Source organism: Homo sapiens, chromosome 16 (assembly GCF_000001405.40).
Source record: "Homo sapiens chromosome 16, GRCh38.p14 Primary Assembly".
In the NCBI taxonomy this organism is placed as follows: Eukaryota; Metazoa; Chordata; class Mammalia; order Primates; family Hominidae; genus Homo; species Homo sapiens.
Genome location: NC_000016.10, coordinates 50,722,388 through 50,744,090, shown reverse-complemented (window position 1 = coordinate 50,744,090; position 21,703 = coordinate 50,722,388). Strand labels below are relative to the sequence as shown.

The 21,703-nt window shown below is 46.7% G+C and overlaps 2 protein-coding genes, 1 long non-coding RNA gene and 1 other non-coding gene across 45 annotated transcripts in view, besides 5 other annotated features; 1 reads left to right on the top strand and 3 right to left on the bottom strand.

The window, feature by feature from the left end:
• Positions 1-2,005, bottom strand: part of CYLD (CYLD lysine 63 deubiquitinase) — a 59,850-nt gene extending 57,845 nt beyond the window's left edge. For 14 of the 26 annotated variants that reach the window (XR_007064858.1, XM_047433656.1, NM_015247.3 and 11 more), the window contains exons 1-2: positions 1,967-2,005; positions 1,250-1,329 (exon numbers count right to left, since the gene is read on the bottom strand). The gene's annotated coding sequence lies outside the window, so the exon portion shown is untranslated. Of the gene's footprint in view, positions 1-1,249; positions 1,330-1,428; positions 1,677-1,874; positions 1,936-1,966 lie in introns of those variants that run through there. The other 12 variants (NR_166071.1, XM_047433658.1, NM_001378746.1 and 9 more) reach the window with 2 other exon arrangements.
• Positions 1,251-1,350: an enhancer, noted in NCBI's record as "active region_10828". NCBI's record gives its function as "activates an Ori minimal core promoter by ATAC-STARR-seq in GM12878 lymphoblastoid cells {active_cell/tissue: GM12878}" and the evidence as "EXISTENCE:reporter gene assay evidence [ECO:0000049][PMID:35858748]".
• On the top strand, positions 1,344-16,676 carry CYLD-AS1 (CYLD antisense RNA 1). Of its 7 annotated transcripts, NR_184279.1 has the most exons (7): positions 1,344-1,420; positions 2,687-2,763; positions 3,297-3,411; positions 11,731-11,873; positions 14,138-14,248; positions 14,941-15,078; positions 15,641-16,676. It is a non-coding gene; the product is annotated as a CYLD antisense RNA 1 (long non-coding RNA). The 7 variants fall into 7 exon arrangements; NR_184278.1 differs by having other exon boundaries at positions 2,687-3,411; NR_184274.1 differs by lacking the exons at positions 11,731-11,873; positions 14,138-14,248; positions 14,941-15,078; positions 15,641-16,676 and adding an exon at positions 7,266-9,781.
• Positions 1,591-2,190: a silencer, noted in NCBI's record as "silent region_7491". NCBI's record gives its function as "represses an Ori minimal core promoter by ATAC-STARR-seq in GM12878 lymphoblastoid cells {active_cell/tissue: GM12878}" and the evidence as "EXISTENCE:reporter gene assay evidence [ECO:0000049][PMID:35858748]".
• On the bottom strand, positions 1,714-1,786 carry MIR3181 (microRNA 3181). The gene has a single exon (NR_130462.1). It is a non-coding gene; the product is annotated as a microRNA 3181 (primary transcript).
• Positions 8,219-8,268: an enhancer, noted in NCBI's record as "active region_10827". NCBI's record gives its function as "activates an Ori minimal core promoter by ATAC-STARR-seq in GM12878 lymphoblastoid cells {active_cell/tissue: GM12878}" and the evidence as "EXISTENCE:reporter gene assay evidence [ECO:0000049][PMID:35858748]".
• Positions 10,279-10,573: a silencer, noted in NCBI's record as "tiled region #1297; K562 Repressive non-DNase unmatched - State 21:Repr". NCBI's record gives its function as "represses a minimal TATA promoter and a strong SV40 promoter by Sharpr-MPRA in K562 cells {active_cell/tissue: K562}" and the evidence as "EXISTENCE:reporter gene assay evidence [ECO:0000049][PMID:27701403]".
• Positions 11,016-21,703, bottom strand: part of NOD2 (nucleotide binding oligomerization domain containing 2) — a 39,470-nt gene continuing 28,782 nt past the window's right edge. For 10 of the 11 annotated variants that reach the window (NR_163434.1, NM_001370466.1, XM_006721242.5 and 7 more), the window contains 5 exons: positions 21,386-21,469; positions 20,707-20,790; positions 18,519-18,602; positions 14,190-14,273; positions 11,016-12,344 (listed from right to left, as the gene is read on the bottom strand). Coding sequence is in view for 10 of the 11 variants with exons in the window: in NM_001370466.1 (NP_001357395.1) it covers positions 12,272-12,344; positions 14,190-14,273; positions 18,519-18,602; positions 20,707-20,790; positions 21,386-21,469 (409 nt within the window). In the remaining variant the exon portion in view is untranslated. Of the gene's footprint in view, positions 12,345-14,189; positions 14,274-18,518; positions 18,603-20,706; positions 20,791-21,385; positions 21,470-21,703 lie in introns of those variants that run through there. The other variant, XM_047434457.1, reaches the window with a different exon arrangement.
• Positions 20,101-20,160: an enhancer, noted in NCBI's record as "active region_10826". NCBI's record gives its function as "activates an Ori minimal core promoter by ATAC-STARR-seq in GM12878 lymphoblastoid cells {active_cell/tissue: GM12878}" and the evidence as "EXISTENCE:reporter gene assay evidence [ECO:0000049][PMID:35858748]".

Here is a 21,703-nt window from a genome sequence, read left to right as displayed (position 1 = left end):
CCAAGTCCTTCATTTTTATATTATCCAGTGCCCACACGAGAGCCTGGCATATGCTAGGCACTGAATACAGAGAAATGAATGAAAGACTCAAGTGGTAACAGTGAAAACAAAATTGCATTTCCTCCTCCTGTTTAAGGGATTAAACCAAGAGAAAGAGAAGAGAAAAAGACTCAGGAATTGGGAGTATTTAATGAATTTTGCCTAAAACTTCAGTAATTCTCTAGATAAAATGAAATCATGCTAAACCACTTCATTGTTATACATATAAGAAGAAACAAATACGGAAAATTTCACAATTACGAAACCAAGTTGTTTTGAGGTTTATTTGATACTAGCTTCCTACAGCCTCAACTAGCATGTATGATGCTTATAAATTCTGTACAACCAATGAAAAAAAAACTAATTTAAATCATAGTGTGAAAATCAGGAACAAAATACTAATAGTTTGATAAACAACATAACTATTCCTTTCTCTCTCCCTGTGTTGGAGACTTCCTTAAATCAAACAAAACCACAGTTTAGGTGTGCCAGACTATAAAAATCATTGCTGCTTAATGTTAGTTGTGCTTTATATAACAAGCCTTATCTGCTTCTCACAAAAGTTACCACCCAGAGGAAGGTTTATTTGCAAGAATACTATACAATTTTGCAGCAGAATATTAGAGAATGTTCTGGGTGTTACTTCAATAAGAATTTCCAGCAAATCATTTTCTCCTAATACTGTTCTAGTTCAAATCCACCTACTGCTCAGTGGGGAATGGGAGGCTAAATTCTTAAGGCCATTCAGTCTACTTGGGGCGTGAGGGGGTGTGTAGAAAGCCAACAATCAAACGAACACCCTCTCAAGGCCTGGGTGCTTCTCTGAGAGCCAATGATTGCAAAATGAACAATCTTATTAAGATCCCTAATTAGCCCGAATTCAAAAGCAAGGTAGGCATGCTCCTTAGCTGAGCTAAGGATAAAACTTTCCAGGAAAAATTGAGGAGAAGAAGGTGGCAGGGATGATGGGGGCTGGGAGACTGCAAGGCCACAGGCTTGGTGGCTGGAAGATGACAACTATCCTAAAACATTCAAATGCCAAGGGGTGGAAGAGAAACGATGCCAAGTACATGAATAACCGGCAGCTGACCCAGCTGAGTACCAAACTCAACACCATCTCCTGAAGATTTCATGACTTCGCCCCCGCCCCCCATTCGCCCCCCACCCCCCTCGATTGTTAACATGAAAGAAAAACATAAAGAAAGAATACCTGTCACAGCAGGGCGCACCTTTCAACTAAGGAACTCCGGGTGGCTGTGTAGAACCATCCTCACCCTAGAAAGGGGGAAACTGAAAGAAAAAGCAGAACACGCCATTAACAAGGCCAGAACCCCGACTGCCATTCCTGGACGGGAGCCACCAACACCCGCAAAATCGATCGGTACGTACGCCCCGCGGCGCGGTCGGTAGGAATCACAGCCCCGGGCTCCTGAGGCCAACCGTGGCCGTCGGGGCCCGCCAGCGGCCTGTGCCTCAGTCTCCCAATCTGTAAATGGGGTGGGGGGCGGGAGGGGGACAGCGTCCCGCGCGGCTCCCGCCCCAAGTCCTCTCTCCTCTGGGGGTCCCGATGGTGGCGACCCCGCACGCTCCCCGGACTCGCAGCCCTCCCGGGAAGCCTCGGGGGATGGGGAAGCCCCGGTGGGGGGGGGAAACCCGGGCTGACGTCAGCGGGCTCGGCAACCCGCGGGCCCGGCCGGCTCGGGCCCGGGCAACTAACGGGCCGGCGCCGAGGGCCCGATGGTCGCCGCGGCGGCTCCGGACGCCCTGAGGCCAGGCGGCTGCGCCGAGGGGATCCGGCCGCCCGCCGGCCGCCAGCCGCCCGCTCATTCACTAACCTCGGGCGGCGGGGCGTCGCCCCTCGCCCCGGCTCCCCAGCCCGCGTCCCGGGCCGGCCCCGGCTCCCCACACCCACCGCCCTAGTATTTACCTCCGACGCGCGGCCCCCGCGCAGCCAAACCTGCTACCTGGGCCCGCCCCCACCTGCCCCGCCTCCGAACCGCACAGGGAAGAGGGAGGGAGCGGGGGCGGAGGGGGCAGCCGCCGCGCTAGCCAATCGTAGGCCGAGCTGCGCTCCTGAGCGGGCCGTGATTGGGCCTCCCTGTGACAGACCTTCCTCCAATGGCTGCCAGCCCGGCGCCGGCCGAAGGGACTTTCCGCTCTGTCAAGCTCGGTGGAACCAAAGGGAAAGCGAAGGGGCGGGGCAGAGAAGAGCGGCGGATGGAGGCGGGAAGCTCAAGCTGATTGGGCGAAAGGCTGTGGGTGCCGCGTCACCATTGGCTGATGCTGGAGCCGGGGCGGGGCGCTGCGCTGCCACCAGCTCCGCCTCCCGTGCTCCCGCCTCAGCTGTCAAAACTGTAGACGCTTAGGTTTGGGCTGGGTTAAGAGTCCAGATGAAGGTTGAAATAGGATTCCAGGATGCCGTGAGAGAGCAAAGCTTTAGAATCAGACCTCAGTTTGAATCTTTGGCGCTTTCATTCAGTGGCTGCGTGACCTGAGGAAGTCACAACCACGCTGAGCCTCAATGTCCTCATCTGTAAAATGGAGATCATAGTATCGGTTGTCTTACAGGATTGTGGCAAAATACCGAGCTAAAGTTCCTGGCACGCAGTACCAGCTCAGGAAAGGTTCATCTCTTCCTCCTCCGCAGATTCAGCCTGGGACGCTTGCTGTTTCCGAACCTCTGTTGCCACCTATCCCAGTTTGGAGGGAATTTTCCCAAGGATGGTGAAGAAGGGATTTCCACACGCCGCCTCACTCAGCCCCGCACCCCTGGCCACCAGCCAGGACTTAGGGTGTAGTTAAGGATCTTTCAATTAGAAGGGAGGCTTCTGATTCCCAAAAGCACTCAAAATATTTAAGGAAGTGCTTTTTATAATCAGTCCTAGAGCCTTGCTGCACTGGATACTCCTGTTAATTAATTTCTTCTCCTTTGACATTTTAAGTGCTAATTATAGGAGAAGGTGATTAACACTGAGAAAGGAGGAGGGGTGTGTGTGTGTGTGTGTGTGTGTGTGTGTGTGTTTTTAATCATGACACAAATTTCCCCCAGTGGAAAGTGACATGTTTCTGGAGATCCAGGGAATTTAAACCAATGAATACATAAAAACAGTCACATGAGTGATGACTAACAGTAGCAGTAGACAGGCCACCACTCTTCCTTGCCATAGTCATCCAAAATGAAATGAGCATCTTTTGAAAACCTAAGCCTCATTCTACTCCTGTCCCTCTTTTGTCACTCCTATCTTCCTGTTTTCCAGGCTTCATGACCACACTGCTGTAGGAAGCCATAAGTTGGAAATCAACGGGCCTGGCTTGAAGTGTGGCCTTAGGCAACACCGTTCTCATCTACATCTGGATTCTCCAACAAAGCTGGTAGGACTCAGAGGTCACAGTCCAACTGTCTGGAAGAAAATTTCAGCTGAAATTTGTTTTTGCCTAACCCATACGATAAGGAGGAAGGAGAAAAGAATGTGAAGGAGAGAGATTTGGGGTCCTTTTAGGCAAGGCAAACATTCTCATGTTACCACTGGGACCACTTCTCTTATCTGCACGATCTACATCCACTGGTCCCTTAAGGCATCTGAGTTTGCCACTCTGGACTAGAATATTTTCATGTCCCTTCTTTTTGTTTTTGTTGTTGTTGTTGCTGGGGTGTTTGTTTGTTTGTTTCTTTGTTTTGAGACAGAGTCTTGCTCTGTTGCCTAGGCTGGAGTGCAATGGTGCGATCTCAGCTCACTGCAACCTCCGCCTCCCAGGTTCAAGCAATTCTCCTGCCTCAGCCTCCCAAGTAGCTGGGATTACAGGTGCCTGCCACCACACCCAGCTAATTTTTGTATTTTTAGTAGAGACAAGGTTTCACCATATTGACCAGGCTGGTCTCAAACTCCTGACCTCAAGTGATCTGCCTGCGTCAGCCTCCCAAAGTGCTGGGATTACAGGCATGAGCCAATGTGCCCGGCCTATTTTTGTGTCCTTTCTGTTGATGGTGTTTGGTGCTGCTGAGGTCTCTACTTCCATAGGGCTTTCGTCCCCAGGCTCTGTCCTGTCATACGTTCACTGAATCAGTGCCGGGGCCTGACTTCATCTAAGGGATCTTCATCCAAGTCAAGCCTGACAAATGGGGCTTATCTCAATTATCATTTCCTATCAATTGGGAATGGCTGCTTAGAACATTGCGTTAAAGCTAATTCTGAACTTATATTCAGGCTCACCGGGAAGAGAGATATCTGCCAGGGGATAAGATGGGGAGATAGTGTCATGGTGCTATTATTTGCAGTCCTTGGTGAACCAGCCTCTCATTTTACAGGTAGTAGATGAAGGCCCAAAGACAGTAAATTACAAGCCCCTGTCACTCAGGAGATGGGCCGAGACCCTGATTCCAAGCCAAGACTCTTTCCACCTCTGTTAAAATGGATTCCCCAACTGAAATGCTCATCATCTCTGCCTTCCAAATCCTCCCTTCATGGAGGACCTAGTCAAAGTCCTTTACAGACATGTCTTCACAGAGGGCTCCAGCCCTCACTAATGACCTCTCTCAATCCACCACCCCACAGCCTCTTCCATCCAGCCTGGTCCTGGGTTCATGGAACTAGCGGTTGTGTTACTGAGCAGGTTCCAGGAAACATAGCAGTGTACAAGAGAGATGCCACACTCCCTCTGGCAAAAAAAAAAAAAAAAAAAAAGGCAAACTAAAATACTCATTAGATGATCACTTACTTAATTATGGCTGTGGTAAGCCTCAGAAGAAGAATCTCTCTGAGCATGCCTAAAGGGAGGTTGGCCACTCAGGGAAGGCCTGTTTGAGGAAGTCACCTTTGAGATGAGATGGGAAAGATAACTGGCAGGCAGGAGTGAGGGGGAACACTCCAGAAATAGGAAACAGGAAAGTGCATGACCTGTTGAAGAAACTGGAAGAGGCAGAGCGCAGACAATGAAGGCACAAAAGAGCCTTGGGAGCCAAGGACAGGGGTTGTTCTCCATCCCAAGAGCAATGGGAAGTTGTGAAGGGTTTTGCAGGGAACATAACACTGGTTCTTTTTTTGTTTTTTGTTTTTTGTTTGAGATGGGGTCTCACTCTGTTGCCTAGGCTGGAGTACAGTGGCACAATCATAGCTCACTGCAGCCCCCGTCTCCTGGGCTCAAGTGATCCTCCCACCTCAGTCTCCTGAGCAGCTGAGACTACAGGTACGCACCACCATGCCCAGCTAACTTTTCTCTTTTGAGTAGAGATGAGGGTCTCACCATGTTGCCCAGGCTGGTCTTGAACTCCTGGCTTCAAGTGATCCTCCTGCTTTTGCCTCCCAAAGTGCTGGGATTACAGGCATGAGCCACTGTGCCTGACCTAACACTGATTCTAAGCTGTCTTATGTAGTTCTCTCATTGCACACAGCGGGACCCTAACATAAAGCTATTGAATTGAATGGAGCTTTCCCCACGGAGGACGGTGAACTCCAGGTAGCCTGCTAGGGGCATGGGACATAGAGTAACACACCGTCAGGACTCAAGGGAACCTGCTCAGTGGCACCGGTCATGATTATTGACTAGACCCTGCTCCATGCTTCCCAGTGCCTACCACGGGGTACCTCCTACTTGCAGTCTCTCCAAATTTGGTGTCTCTTTTATATCCTACTGCCTTCTCAGCATCTCCACTCAACACAGCCAAAAGCGAACTCCTGATATTCACCACCACCACCCCCTGCAATCCCTCTGCACTCCCCATCTTAGTAAATGGCAACTCCCAGATGTCCATCCAACCTCCCATGGTTCCAGCCATTTTCCCACTAATCCTGTGAATATGGGCATTCAGAATGAACACCAGGCCAAGTGGCTAACTGGACCAGGTATCCGCACAAGCAAGGATACGTCACAGGCGCTTTCTCCACAGTAGCCCAGCACAGTGTTTTGATCCATGGATAACGGGCTGAGGTCTTCCATCTCTGAGATGTGCTTATCTCTTAGGGAAGGGAAATTCCAAGTGCAACTGAACATTCTGTCTGAGGACTTTTACTCTGACCACCTAAAAGCTCTTTTTGATAAGATAAAGGGGATTACTTTAATCATCTTTAAACTAATCCAGCCGAACTATAAATCCATGCTCTCCCATTTGAGCTATTTGCTGGTATCAATGACAAATAATTTCTATGTTTGATTTTTAAAACACACACAGAAAGCTCTTTATTAAAGGGAACTTTCTGCTACATCTGGATCCCATTTTGGGCAGTTGATGCATTAGGGATTGTTCCATGTCCCAGGGAATCTTCCTCCTTTACCAAGGAGACACAAATGATGTCAGAAAAAGGGTGACTCATTCTTATAAGCTGCCCCAACTTCTATTTTCTGCCCCCTTTAATAAAGAAAGTGGATCCTTCCTTCATTCAACAAATATGTATTGAGCACCTACTATGTGCTAGGCACCTTTGTAGACTCTGAGGACACTGCAGTGAGCGTGGTTCCTGTTCTCAAGAAGCTGACATTCTAGGGGAGGGGAAAAATGACCATGCATCAGGTAGTTCATGCAGAGAAGACAATACAAAGGAAGGCAGGCAGTGGCTGGAAACTGCTATTTAGGTAGATTGTTCAGGGAAGGACTACCTCATGTAGGTGGCATTTGAACTAAGACTGGAAGGAAATGAAGAAGCCAACCACACCACTGTCTCAGGGAACAGTGTTCCCATAGGAGGGGAAAGGCGAGTGCAGAGGTCTGGAAGCAGCAATGTGCCTGGTGTCCTCAGCAATGTGCCTGGTATGCTCAGGGAACAGCAAAGAAGCCAGTGAGGTTGGAGCCCAGAGAACAGGTGTGAGTGGCAAAGGGGAGGCCAGAGAGGATACAGGGGGTCCAAGTCAGATGAGACCTTACCTTTTACCCTGCACCAACAAGAAGTCCTGGAGGGTTTACATCAGAGCAGTAGCTGATCTGACTTATGTTTTAATAGGTTCATGCCTCAGGTCAAAGTCAGTAACAGGGAGACTGATGCAGTAACCCAGGCAAGGATGGATCCCAAAGGGACCCCCTTGTTTCCTGGGGGTGGAGGCAGAGCAGGTGAGAGGGAGGGGTGCAGGGGGATGTGGAACTGAAGATATCGAGAAGTTGTTACAAAGCAGAAAGAGATGTAGCACTCCTGAAAAGAAGCATTTTCAGGGTGAGTGATCAGGGGAGTGGTGATGCTTAGGGGACTGGATCTGTGGATTGTTCAGGAAATAATAATAGGTTGGGATTAAATTTACAGGGAAAAAAACGATCCAAGGGAAGCCAATCAAAGAGCCTGGATTGCCAGTCTTCCCTGCTGCGATCTCCGCCTGCGATTCTCCAGGGGAAATGTCCTTTATGACCTTACAGCTCACCTGGAACCCTCCACCTAGGGCCCGAGGCAGCACATCCTCTCGTGCCCGGGCACTTCCAGGCATTGCCCTGAGTACTGGGCACTTCACACACTGGGCTGGACCACTCACCGGAGTGAATAAGGAGGCTTGAAGCTGTCCTGGTACAACAATGGAATGAAGCGCTAGTCTCAGCTCAGCCACTTGGAATATGACTCCAACTCTCACATTTCTGTGGGGTGTATTCATTTCAGCTTTTTGTTTGGTGCTATGGGGAGGGAAGGGCCCTCAGACTGGCATCCTTTTTCTTCCAGGATGATGATGAATATTATGAAAGTCTGAGGCTGTTTTTAAAATTCTGCTCTAATACGTTGTTTTTCTGTGCATAAGAATTATGTATTCTTAGCTGCAAAACTGGAATCCGTCTGCTCATGGATAAACTTCTGGCCATGAGCATGTACCTTTCAGGTAACTTCCCTATCAGAGAAGCTTACAATCAAGAATCCTACTTCCCTAGTTCCCTACACAGGCCCAGGAGGCTTTTGGTGGTATCCGCTGGACTTTTGAAAATTAGGGAATTTCTCCTACTCTGAACTCTACCAGGAATCACATATCAAGATCTCAGTACCATCTTACCTAGACCCTCTTGACCTCTTCTTTCTCCATAATCTCTTTCTAGCTCATGTCATCCAGACTCGAGGGCCCCATTCTCAGTTTGACACTGAGGACACCCACGCTATTATCTCTGGCTGTGACCTTTCCCACGAGCTCCAAATTCACACCATCTTTTGACGTCTCCACTTAACTTCCCCATTTCGGTGTCTCAAACTTGACAATTCAAAACAGAACTCCCTCCCACTTCCAAACTGGTTTCCTACCCAACTTTCCCAGGCCCCCAGTTTCTCAAGTCAGAAATCTATGAGTCATCCTTGATGTTTGCCATTCCCTCATCCCTCCCATCCAACCCATTCGTAGGCTCTTGGGAATCTACCTCCAAAATGTCTCTGGAATCCATCCTCTTCTCTCCACCTCCACTGCCAACCGCCTCTCACCTGCAATAGCTCTGAGGCAGCCTCCCCACTTCTTCTGCCTCCCATCCCCACCCCTACATATTCCTGTCCTATCTCCACCCAGAAGCAAACAAGATCTTCTTTAACTGTAAATTGGTTCACATCTCCCCTGCTTAGAACTTTCCAAGGCCTTGACATTATTCCAAGATCAAGACCAAACTCTTGACTGTGGCCAGTGAGACCTTTCCTGAACTGGTCCTACCTACCTCTGCAAACCCATCTAGTGACACCTTTCCCTTAGCTTGCCTCCAACATAGTGTATTAGTTTCCTATGGCTGCTGCAGGAAATGACACAAATTATCCCCTTATAGTCGTGGAAGCCAGAAGTCCAAAATGGGCTGGAGCCAAGGCAGGCAGGGCTATGCTGCTTGCAGAGGTTCTAGGGGAGAATCTATTTCTTGGTCTTCTTTGGCTTCTAGAGCTGCAATCCTTGGCTCATGGCGCCTTCCTCCACCTTCAGAGCCAGCAGTGTAGCATCTTACTTGGTGATCACATTTCTTTCTTCTCCAGTGTCATATTTCCCTTTGCTTTACATTGTCCTTTAAATTTCTCTTATAAGGAAACTGCGATTGCATTTAAGACCCACCCAGGTAATCCAAGATGATCTTCCCATCTCAAGACCCTTAACTGAATCCCACCTCCAAAGTCCCTTTTGCCAGGTAAGGCAACATTCCCAGGTCCCGGGGATTAGGATCTACATATGTTCGGGAGTGACTATTGAGCCTACCATGCATACCACGCTCCTTCCCTCACCAGGGTCTTTGTACCTCTTGTCCCCCATTACTAGAATGCTCCCTTCTTCCCTCTCACTCTTTGCTTGGCCATATCTTTCTCATTCTTGGGGACACAGCTTACCTGGCACCTCCTCAGACAACCTGTCTCGGACCAGCCCCTTAACAGCCTGAAGACTTTTTTTTTTTTTTTTTTGATACGGAGTCTTGCTCTGTTGCCCAGGCTAGAGTGCAGTAGTGTGATCTCAGCTCACTGCAACCTCTGCCTCCCGGGTTCAAGCAGTTCTCCTGCTTCAACCTCCCAAGTAGCTGGGATTACAGGCACCTGCTACCATGCCCGGCTAATTTTTGTATTTTTAGTAGAGACAGGGTTTCACCATGTTGGCCAGGCTGGTCTCGAACTCCCGACCGCAAGTGATCTGCCCACCTTGGCCTCCCAAAGTGCTGAGATTACAGGCATGAGCCACAGTGCCTGGATGAAGACTTTTTCATGTCTTTTTCAACTGACTTGTTTTCTGCCTGCCTCTCCCTCCACCCTCACCTAAGCACCTTGAGGACCATGTCTGTTTTGTCAATCCACTGGTCATCCTAATATAACTGGTTAATAAATCATTGCTGAATTTATTTATTTATTTATTTATGACAGTCTCGCTGTGTCGCCCAGGCTGGAGTGCAGTGGCATGATCTCAGCTCACTGCAACCTCCTCCTCCAAGATTCAAGCGATTCTCCTGCCTCTGCTTCCCAAGTAGCTGGGATTACAGGCGTGCGCTGCCACACCCAGCTAACTTTTTTTTTTCTTCTTCTATTTTTAGAGACAGGGTTTTGCCATGTTGGCCAGGCTGGTCTTGAACTTCTGACCTCAAGTGATCCAGCTGCCTCAGCCTCCCAAAGTGCTGAGATTACAGGCATGAGCCACCATGCCTGGCCTCATTGCTGAATGAATTTAAAGATGACAAACTGACAACCCAATACAGTGCTATGCAAATGGGCTGCTGTGTGTACTCCTCAGCGAAAGGAGACTCAACACCACCTTCCTCCTGATCTGCTGTATCAGAAACAATGGTCTGGGCAGAACAGGGCACCAATCACAAAGAAAACCCATAGACACACTCCCATGCAGGGTCCAGGGAGATGCCACACCACCGAGTCAGCCAGACGCAAAACCTTTCAAGGAAGTAGGATTTTACCTTGCTGGGTGACCACCTGATCCCTTGCTTATTAAACGCAGCTAAGCACTATTTTAACACAAGGCCTGCATGAGAGGCTGCTCGCTGTGGAGAGCCAGCCATAAGTAAACCTTCTCCATCCTTCTGTTAAAGACTCCTGGAGCCACTTTGAGGGAATCGAGGGGGGCCAAGGGGCCTTTTCACATGTGTTGCAGCCTTTTAGGCTGGGTACGGGGAGGCTCCTGCACAGCTGAAAACTTCACGGGGTTAAACTTTTCTAAACTGAAGCCAAAAGTGTTTTGATTGCCTGGCTATTTTCTAAGAATTGCTTTTGCCTTAAGCTATACATTATCGGGTTGAAAACATCATTTTCCTCCGCTTCAAGTAGAAAATTGTGCTTTAAAATTTGACAAGTTTTAGTAATATTTTTATTTTTTATTTTCTTTATTTATTTGAGATGGAGTTCCACTCTTGTTGCCCAGGCTGGAGGACAACGGTGTGATCTTGGCTCACTGCAACCTCCACTATTTTTAGTAGAGACAGGGTTTCTCCATGTTGGTCAGGTTGGTCTCAAACCCCCAACCTCAGGTGATCTGCCCACCTCGGCCTCCCAAAGTGCTGGGATTACAGGCGTGAGCCACTGTGCCCAGCCAGAATATTTTTAAATGTTTGGTCACAAGGAAGATGGCTGTTTTGACTCAACAGTTTATTCCCCTCTGATTATTTACAGCATAAAGTTCACGGCCATGTTGTCTATAAGAGTATAAACTTAAGACAGTAAAACAAAGTGACCTATAAATATTAACCAGTTTTCACACATCATAATGTTTAAAATAATAACATTTGCACAGCATCTGACAATTTACAAAGGCTTCAACATACATCATTTTGAATAATCCAGGAAGACATTTGCTTTGAAGGAACGGCCTAATTTTTTTTCCTGTAAACTTTCAATCCATAACTGTACATCCTAAAGCATTCTGGCACAAATGAAATGGAACTGCCTCTTGTGGGTCTATTTCAGAAGTCTGTTGTCAGAGTTCAGTTCACAGGCATCAACCAGAAGCCTAGTGAGGCCGTTTGAAATTCTGGCCCAGATTAATTTTTTAAAGCTGCATTTGGAGCTTTTTAAAGTCGAGCTGTTTCCAAAGGCTTAACTGAAGAGTAACTGATTTCACTGGAAATAAAAGTCCACATGTGATCCCAGCTGGAGTGTGGTCATATTTTTCTTGCAAACCTAGAATGTCTTGGGGAACAAACGGCTGTCACGTGTCCCCTTCCAAAAATGTCTTAAACACCGGAAAGGAGGGCAGGCTAAGGTGTAGCCCTTCCCACCCTGGGTGCCAGGGTTGGGGGTGCTGTAAGTGAAATATCAAAGCTGAGGTCACTAATATTCTGAATTTCAGCCTCAGAGGAAGGAGCGTGTGCAGGAGTCCAGGAGGAGGGGAGGAACCAGAGACGGGGAATGGCCTGGATGGATGAGTCGAGACATGGGGAAAGCTGCTTCCTGAATTATGTGTTCTGTGTACTCCTCTTCATCAGAGCAGTGGTAAGGGGTCTTTTGTGAGAGGCCGGGCCTCTCCACCAAAAGGCACTCAGTTAACAAGCACATCCATGGGCCCCACTGACCCACACGGAAGCCTGGGAGGATCAGCAGAGGCCAGTCCCATACTATGGAGGAGGGGCTGTCCTTGTACATCCTGGGATTGAATCTTGGGAAGAAGTCAATGGCAAAAGTAGGCTTGGGAAAAGTCTATCCTGGAGGGCACTGATGCTCCCTCCTCTGCCAGAATAAAGGTGACCTATGGTGTTCCCAGAAAACAAGTTCAGCCTTAGGCAGGACAGGGCTCATTTTGAAGAGGCTGCCAACACATGTCACCCAGCCTCTGGGGCCCAAACTCACAGCCTGCTCACAAACAAACTGAGACGAACATCCTCCCGGAGACTTCAAAGCAAGAGTCTGGTGTCCCTGCAGCCGAGCTTGTCAACCTCCTCTAGAGAGAAAGTGTTCCCTCGGAGCCTAAAGCAGATCAAGTGAACAGAGGTTTGAGTGAGGACAAAATTAGAGCAGGGCTTTCAAACAAAAGCCTCCACTTTTTAAACCCATGCCTGGGATGGGCTGACTCTCTGGCCCAGCTGCAGTGTTTCTTGCAGGGAAGTCAGGGCTGTTTTTACCCTTGGCCAACCAGGGCAGCTCAGGAAGCATTCTGAACAAGGCTCCATGACTCTGCAGAGAGAGTCCACAACACTGCACCCAGCCAGCCACAGACTCCCCAAGGCCAGTGATTCTTTTTAAGGCAATAAGAGAATCTGTCAAGAATGCAATGAGCAAACCCTGGTGCCCTCCCAAGTTCCATCAACAGGCAGCAAATAACATCAGACCCCTTAAAATATCAACCTCATGTTGGCTGGTGCCCAGGACCCAGAATGTGATGTTTCTTAGGACTGTGCAATGGTTTCAAAAACAAAGAAACAGAAAACCTACACTTTGCCCAGAACCTGATGACGTCATAGGCCACAGAGCTATCACAATCATACAGAAGGAAAAATCTCTCCATCACAGCATAGATTTTTGAAGTCACTTTTAAATTTTTTATTTTTTTAAGAGATGGGATCTAATTCTGTCGCCTGTGCAGTGATGCAATCATGGCCCACTGCAGCCTTGAACTCCTGGGTTCAAGGGATCCTTCCATCCCAGCCTCCCAAGTGGCTAGGAACTACACCGCACCCAGCTGAATTTTTTATTTTTTGAGAGACAAGGTCTGGTGTTGAACCTCTGGCCTAAAGTGATCCTCCTGCCTCAGCCTCCCAAAGTGCTAGGATTACAGGTGTGAGCTGCCACGCCCAGCAAAGCTTTTGTTTTTAACTTCATCATTTGATATCTGCATTCGCTGCAGCCTTGATGTGCTTTTTGAGAGAAGACAAGGCCTGCATATTTAAAGCAAGGGTCACAGGCTTATGGGAATGAGTTGCCAAAGGGTCCTGGTCTAAGACAATAGGCTTGGTGGATCTGCAGTCAGCCAGAGTGGGTTTGCCCATCTGAGAAGACTCAGCCCTTCTTGTACTCTGGTTAACTACTGGAATCATGAATGGGCATCCAGAGTTCCCAGCTCTTTTGAGAAAACCCTGAGATATAGATTTTCTATAGGAAATTTCCTGGCTTTTAAATATTAGTCTCTAGCCCAGTGCCTGGAACATATATAGTAGCATTCACTTACAGCACATTAGGCCAGGGAAAGCCTTTACTTATTGTCTGAGAAATAGATCCCTGGAAACAAGAAGGACAAATCTTTGAAGCTGTGGCTCAGCAGAGAGAAAGTCTACAACACTGGACCCAGCTGCCCAGACTCCCAAGGCTAGTCATTCTTTTTAAGGCAATGAAAGAATCTGTCAAGAATGCAATTCTTGCTTTTTTCAATACATGAAAGTCTATGGCTTTAATTATAGAGAATTGGAAACACTGTGCAACCTGCTCCTAACCTGTGTAATCTCCATTCAGAACCGCAGAAGGTCTGATCCAATATCCTTGACCTGTGAAGGCAGATGCAATTTCTAGGAGGGCGGGAGCTGACTTTTCTTTTCATTCTTCAACCACATCCCCATTCCTACACTATCTCATAGAGCAGAGAAGTTGCTGAATAAATAGTCAAGGTTTAAAAATGAAATCATTGCTCCCTACTTAAAGAGGTAAAGACTTCTTTCTTAGACAGAGAATCAGATCCTTCACATGCAGAATCATTCTCACTGAATGTCAGAATCAGAAGGGATCCTCAAAATTCTGCCATTCCTCTCTCCCGTCACCCCATTTTACAGATAGAAAAACTGAGGTTCGGAGAGCTAAAACAGGCCTGCCCAGGGGCCTTACCAGACTTCCAGGATGGTGTCATTCCTTTCAAGGGCCTGCAGGAGGGCTTCTGCCCCTAGGTAGGTGATGCAGTTATTGGACAACCTGGAAAAGAAGATACAATGGTGAGCTTCAAGGATTCTTGGTTTTCCTCTTGAAACTGTCCAGTTAAAGAGACTGCAGGAGTTAGCCAGTCTACTGAAGCCCACCTGTCCCTTAGACACATCCTGCTCATGTCTGAGATTCCCAATGAGCTCATCAACAAAGGCTCAGTACCATCAGTGAAATGTAACCGTCTCTCTTCCATTCACTAGATGAGTTTATCAAATTAAGTAGCCACTCCCTTAGGATAGTGGTTAAGTACCTGCATTTTAGTGCTAGACATCCTGGGTTTAAATCCCACCTACACCACTTCTTTTTTGATCTCGAGCAAATTAGTCCCAATCTCCTCATTGGTAAAATGGGCCTAAAAGAGTACCCGTGCCATCGAGCATAAGAATCTAAATTGTGATGGGTGTAAGCAGGCTCCTATTCACATCCACCATCCATCTCCTTGTGGCATGGGTCCTGGGCCATTAAGTCAGCCACCAGTCCCCCATTACCTCCCCACACTCTGCTTGCTGGGAAGACCCACCACTCTCTGCATGCCTAAAACACTTGCACAGTACTTGATATGGTTTGGCTGTGTCCCCACCCAAATCTCTTGAATTCCCACGTGTTGTGGGAGCGACCCAGTGGAAGGTAATTGAATCCCATCCTGTTCTCATTACAGTAAATAAGTTTCATGATATCTGATGGTTTTAAAAAGGGGAGTTTCCCTGAACAAGCCCTCTTCTCCTGTCTGCTGCCATGTGAGATGTGCCTTTCACCTTCAGCCATGATTGTGAGACCTCCCCAGCCACGTGGAACTGTAAGTTCAATAAAACTCTTTCTTTCATAAAGTGCCCAGTCTTGGGTATATCTTTATCATCAGCATGAAAACGGACTAATACAGTACTTAATTGATAGAAAATAACCAATGAGCAGTAATATTTCTATTTTCAGGGGGGTCTTTGAGGGCACAGAGACAGAGATTAGAGAACATATGAGGTAGCTGACAACAGGGAGGGGAGACAGGATAGGGCCAGGGACAGCAACAGAGGAGTCATGTGTTTCCCAGGTTGCTCTTTTGGTTACAGCTTTGCCTTCCAATAATGTCCACTCCAGGTCCTCCCCCTTTCCCACAATTTCAGGAATGTCTTACAAGTTGACCCTAAGGCAATGCCAATTGTAATTGCCAGTATTTATTGAACTTCTATTAGATTGGTGCAAAAGTAATTGCAGTTTTTGCATTGTTGAAATTTGCCATTTGATATTGGAATACATTCTTAAATAAATGTGGTTATGCTATACATCATTTTAATGCACAATTCTCACTTTATGATTTTTTGCTAATGACTTAATACTTTCTGTTTATTTTATATTTATTTTAGACTATGAAAATGATGTTAGACAAAAAGCAAATTCAAGCAATTTTCTTATTTGAATTCAAAATGGGTTGTAAAGCAGCGGAGACAACTCACAACATCAGCAATGCATTTGGCCCAGGAACTGCTAACTAACGTATAGTGCAGTGGTGGTTCAAGAAGTTTTGCGAAGGAGATAAGAGCCTTGAAGATGAGGAGTGTACTGGCAGGCCATCAGAAGCTGACAATGACCAATTGAGAGCAATCATCAAAGCTGATTTTCTTACAACTACTTGAGAACTCAACATCGACCATTCCATGGTCATTCAGCATTTGAAGCAAATTGGAAAGGTGAAAAACCTCGATAAGTGTGTGCCTCATGAGCTGAGTGAAAACCAAGAAAATCGTCATTTTGAAGTGTCATCTTCTCTTATTCTACACAACAACAGCGAACCATTTCTTGATCTGATTGTGACGTGCGATGAAAAGTGGATTTTATACAACTGGCAATGACTAGCTCAGTGGTTGGACCGAGAAGAAGCTCCAAAGCACTTCCCAAAGGCAAATTCGCACCAAAAAAAAAAGGTCATGGTCACTGGTGGTCTGCTGCTAGTCTGATCCCCTACAGCTTTCTGAATCCCTGCGAAACCATTACATATGAGAAGTATGCTCGGCAAGTCAATGAGATGCACTGAAAACTGCAACACCTGCAGCCGGCATTCGTCAACAGAAAGGGTCCAATTCTCCACGACAACACCCGACTGCATGTCACACAACCAAAGCTTCAAAAGTTGAATGAATTGGACTATGAAGTTTTGCCTCATCCGCCATATTTACCTGACCTCTAGCCAACTGACTACCATTTCTTCAAGAATCTTGACAACTTTCTGCAGGAAAAATGCTTCCACAACCAGGAGGATGCAGAAAATGCTTTCCAAGAGTTTGTTGAATCCCGAAGCATGAATTTTTATGCTACAGGAATAAACAAACTTATTTCTTATTGGCAAAAATGTGTTGATTTTAATGGTTCCTATTTTGATTAATAAAGATGTATTTTAGCCTAGTTATAATAATTTAAAGTTCATGGTCTGAAACCACAATTACTTTTGCTCCAACCTACAACTCACTTTTGTTAGCTACATTCTCTCAGTGAATGCTCATGGCCTATAATGAAGGTCCAGCCATTATCTCCATTTACACTTGAGGCAACTGAGGCACTCATCCAAGAAGAACTGGCTGGTAATGGTGGAGCAGGGGTAAGACCCAGGCTGTCTGGTTCCAGAGCCTGGACTCTTTTTTTTAAATTATTATTTTTCTCATCCTTTTTTTTTTTTTTTTTGAGATGGAAGTTTCTCTCTTGTCCAGTCTAGGGTGCAATGGTGTGATCTTGGCTCATGGCAACCTCCACCTCCCAGGTTCAAGTGATTCTCCTGCCTCAGCTTCCTGAGTAGATGGGATTACAGGTGTATGCCACCACGCCCGGCTAATTTTGTATTTTTAGTAGAGATGGGGTTTCTCCATGTTGGTCAGGCTGGTATGGAACTCCCCACTTCAGGTGATCCACCCGCCTCAGCCTCCCAAAGTGCTGGGATTACAGGTGTGAGCCACTGCACCCAGCAAGCCTGGGCTCTCAACCAACTCTTGGCAGAAACTAAGCCTGGAAAAGAAAGATGTAGGCATTTCTCTTTTTTATAAAAGATATATCAGAAGTTCAATTTTTGTGGGGGATGATATAGTTTAGGATGCTGAAAAATAAGGCTGATGACAGGGTGGCATGGGACCAACCCCAGCCTCATTGCCTGGCATCCATGGGAGTCAAGTGGAGTAAGGCTGTGACAAGGAGGGAAGACAAACCTGCCATATCCACACCTGGTTGATAATGGGCTTGGTATTCCCAAAGGCCGACCCTCAGTGCAAAGCTGGCATCTGGCTCAGACACATCCGGGCTTCACCCCAACTTCCCAGCCCATTTCCACCCAAATAATTAGTGGAAGTGTTTTCTCCAAATATTTGGAAACTTCCTAGCTTGTGAAAGCAACACAAATGAGTGTCGCCAGAGTGGGTAGCAGCCTGGCAGCAAAGCTGGCACTCACAGAGGCAGCTGTCTGTCTGTCTGTCTCTAAAGGCAAGCGTTTTCCTAGGACCACATTTGCCTAGGCAGATGCCACTTTCCTCCAGCAAAAGGAGCCATCTGATGGGGTTCCTGAGGTCTACTTGAAATAAGAATTTTGGCATCAGCCTCAGAGAGCACCCTGACAAACCCATGATGGTCACTAGGTGGGTTCATGTTCACCTGAGCTGTCCATCTCTTTGTGGCACAAGTCCCAAGCCACTGAGTCAGCCACTGGAGGAGGCCACAGTACTCCCCATCACATCACCTCCCCAGCCACTGCTTGCAGAGAAGACCTTCCACTCTCTGCCTGAGGCCATTCTCCTGACCCCAGAAGCATGTTCAGCTGGGTGAGGGTGAGCTGGAAGTGCTGGAGAATCAGTGCCCCATGAGCGCACATCAACATAGGAAGGACAGAGGGTTGGTGGATAAATGCCATGGCTTTCTTGCCCATTGGTTGGGTAGGTGACCATGTGTGTTCTGCACTGGCTCCAGGAGTGCCCCAGAGTACTGAGCTCCAATTTCCCTCATTGATAACTGGCTTGATAACTCCCCTTTATTGGTTACCTTCACTTCCCCATCTCACTTCACCACTCTCCTATCAGCATTTACTGGGACCACCTCCCAGATAAACAACTTGCACTGGAATCCTTGTCCACCTAGACCAAGGCAAGCTGTTCTACCAGGCCACCTCACATGAGTTAGCCCAGCGGAGAGCGGCCCAGATCTTATTCAGAAATGCCCCTTCCAAAGGCCAGCAATTATTGTCCTGTTTCCTGCTTATGGGTTCCTTACTTCAGGATTTTCAAACTTGAATTTTTCTTCAGTCCTTCTGCGAGAGAACATACACCTTCATCCTGGAGATGGTTCTCCTCCAGGCTGGTGAGAAGAAGAGAGAAAATCCAGTTGATACAACATTGATTATGGAAGATGATGAACTCACATGCCCCCCATATAGGAAATCCAACATCTGAAAACCCAAACTCATGGATAAAGAAAGAACAGATAAAGTACGTTGTGGGGATTCTCAATTCCAGGGACATATTTGCAAGAGAATTCACTCCAAGGGCTCTCAATGTAATAAGTTCCCTGATCCCCCAGCTTCCTGATCTCCATCTTTCCTTTCTTCCTTATTAATGGAAGTCTCATTTCATTTGGACAGCCATGCACTTGGTGAAAAAACTGTATTTCCCACTCTCCATTGCAGCCAGGGCTGGTCAAACAACATACAAGTGGGTTGGTCAAGTGACATACACATGGTTGATACATAAGGGGAAGTCGACAGGTGGGGCTTCCAGGAATGCTTTTTAAAGGAGAGAACCCAGATGGCTTTCCTGGGTATATAGATCGAATCCGGGAATACAGAAGTAGTGCTGCACCTGGAGCAGCCATCCTGTGATCATGAGACAACCAACCATGTGAATGAAGTCACAGGCTAAGAATGATGGAACAGGAAGAGAATGAGACAGAGCTGAGACCCCTCCTGGCCTCTTGTAGCCACTGTACAAACCCTACACTGCCTACATCCAGCTGCCTATACAGGAAAAAATAAACCCTTTCCTTGTTTAAACCTCTATAGATGGAGGTATTCTGTCACCTGCAGCTTAACATATAGTTAAACTAAATTTGGCCTGAGACTGCCTCTGTACTTTGAGTTCCTATGTAGCAAACTGCAACCTAACAACATATCCTTATAACAAACAGCTAAGTCTTAGCCAATCACAGCAGCCAGGCTTCAGTCAGTCACAGTCTACCAGCTGATCAGTCTATATCCATATAAAGAAAATGCCTCATCACACCATGCCCATATAAGGCAAATGCCCAGCTGCAACCAATCAAGCTGTTTTGTACATCACTTCCTTTTCCTGTCTATAGATACTGCTTGCCTACCTTGCTGGGTGGAGCACTCCCAGTTCTGAATGCTGCCCAATTCATAAATTGCTGTATGTTCAAACCAGTTCTGCTAAATTTAATTTGCCTAAAGTTTTTCTTTTAACAGTAATCATAACTGATGCTCTCATAACAAGGTTCTCCTCTACTAAGAAATTCCAAGTGGCAAAATCCAGTCAGGATAGAATCAATCATACTTGAGTAGAGCTAGTAAGCCCTGCAACAGCCAAGGTCCATCCATAAAATCTGTTTATGGCAATGCCCATATGTTGCAGTGCCTTTCTGCTTCCCGGGAAAATCAAACATTCAGTATTTTATCTCCCTGACATAATCTGAAGCTGCCCAGAACATGTCAGAAAACTATACTAGTGGCATCTAAAGGATGAGAAACTTAGAATCTGCTTCAGGTCAACAGTATAAGCATGATTCATGGTTCCTCTTTCAACTATCAAAACTCCATTACACCTTCCAAAATGACCTAAGACTTGAATACCCAGTGCTCCTAGGAACTCAAAATCACTTTAAAATAACAAAACTTTATTAGTAGTAGTAGTCACAGTACTATAGTAGTTGTAGCAGCAGCAGCAGCAGCAGCAGCAGTAATAGTAGTAGTAACCCTGCCATTATTCTAATTTAACATTTATGGAGCACTTACAAATATGCCAGGCACTATATTAAGGTCTTCACAGGCACTACTTTATCTAATTCTTGCAAAAATCCTTTATGGTTGGAAGTATTCTTACCCTCATTTTACAGACATGAAACTTGAGATTCTGAAATTGTTATTTAACTTGCCTAAGATCACGGCCTGCTTGATTACAGAGTCTGTGCTCTTAACACTTATGCCATGTGGAGGCAGTCACCAAACCAGCAAACCCATATATTTTATTAAATAAAAAAATTAGCATGTACATACCAGGCTCTATAAGCTTCATACCACTCAGTACATATAAAGACAAACACAATCAATCAATCAGTCAATCACTCAATCATCCACCTTTGTCTGTCCACACAACCGCTCCTATGGATGAGGCCAGGGGATCAACAGAGATTGTGATCCACTTCCCCAGAGCAGAGAATCCCCCAAACTCACCAGAGTTCTTCTAGCATGACGTTCTTTGCCAGCATCAGTGCCAAGGCTTGGGCACCCACACTGCCAATGTTGTTCCCCACCAGGCTGGAGGTAATCATGGAACAAAAGTATGTCAGAGCAGGGAAAGACCTCAGAGATGAGCTAACCTATGGAGGGCAAAATTCGTGGTGCTCTCCTGGTCTGCTCCATTTCAGACATCACTAATTGATTGCGGTGCTCTTTCTTTTTTCTTTTTTTTTTTTTTTCTACCCTTTTTAGACATCACTAATTGAATGCAGTGCTCTTTTTTTTTTTTTTTTAGCTTTTTTAGACATCACTAATTGATTATAGTGCTCTTCTTTAAGCCCAGGTGCAGCCTTAGAATTCTTTTTAATGTGGTGCACTGGGCACCCACTACCAATGGATTGGAATTGGTCCTTAAGATAAAATGTACCTGATCCAGCCCAATATCTTCAATTTACAGATACTGTATCAAAACCCTGAGAGGACAAGGGACATTTCCAAGTCACCCAGAAAGACTCGAGTGTCCTCTCTTGAAATCCAATGGTCTTTTTTCCTTACTCCATTGCCTAACATTGTGGGGTAGAAATAAAGTTCAAAGACCTTCAGAACTGGCCCCAGCTCCTCCCTCTTCACCTGATCTCCCCAAGAAAACTGCAGGATAGACTCTGAAGCTTACCTGAGCCACCTCAAGCTCTGGTGATCACCCAAGGCTTCAGCCAGGGCCTGGGCCCCCTCGTCACCCACTCTGTTGCCCCAGAATCTGAAAAGGCCAAAAGAGTCAACAGACAGTGTCAGTGAGTACCTGATATGTGTTCTAGACATGAACTAACAGTCCTCCTCCCTCTGCAGTCCCAGCCAGAGGGGCAGGACCACTCAATCCCAGAGTGGCCTCACTGGGGCTCCTGGTCCCAGCAAAGTGGACCTGCCTCCATCTTTTGGGTGGGATGGCCAAACTTAACCCAAGAGTTTTCAGTGGCTTTACATTACAGACTTA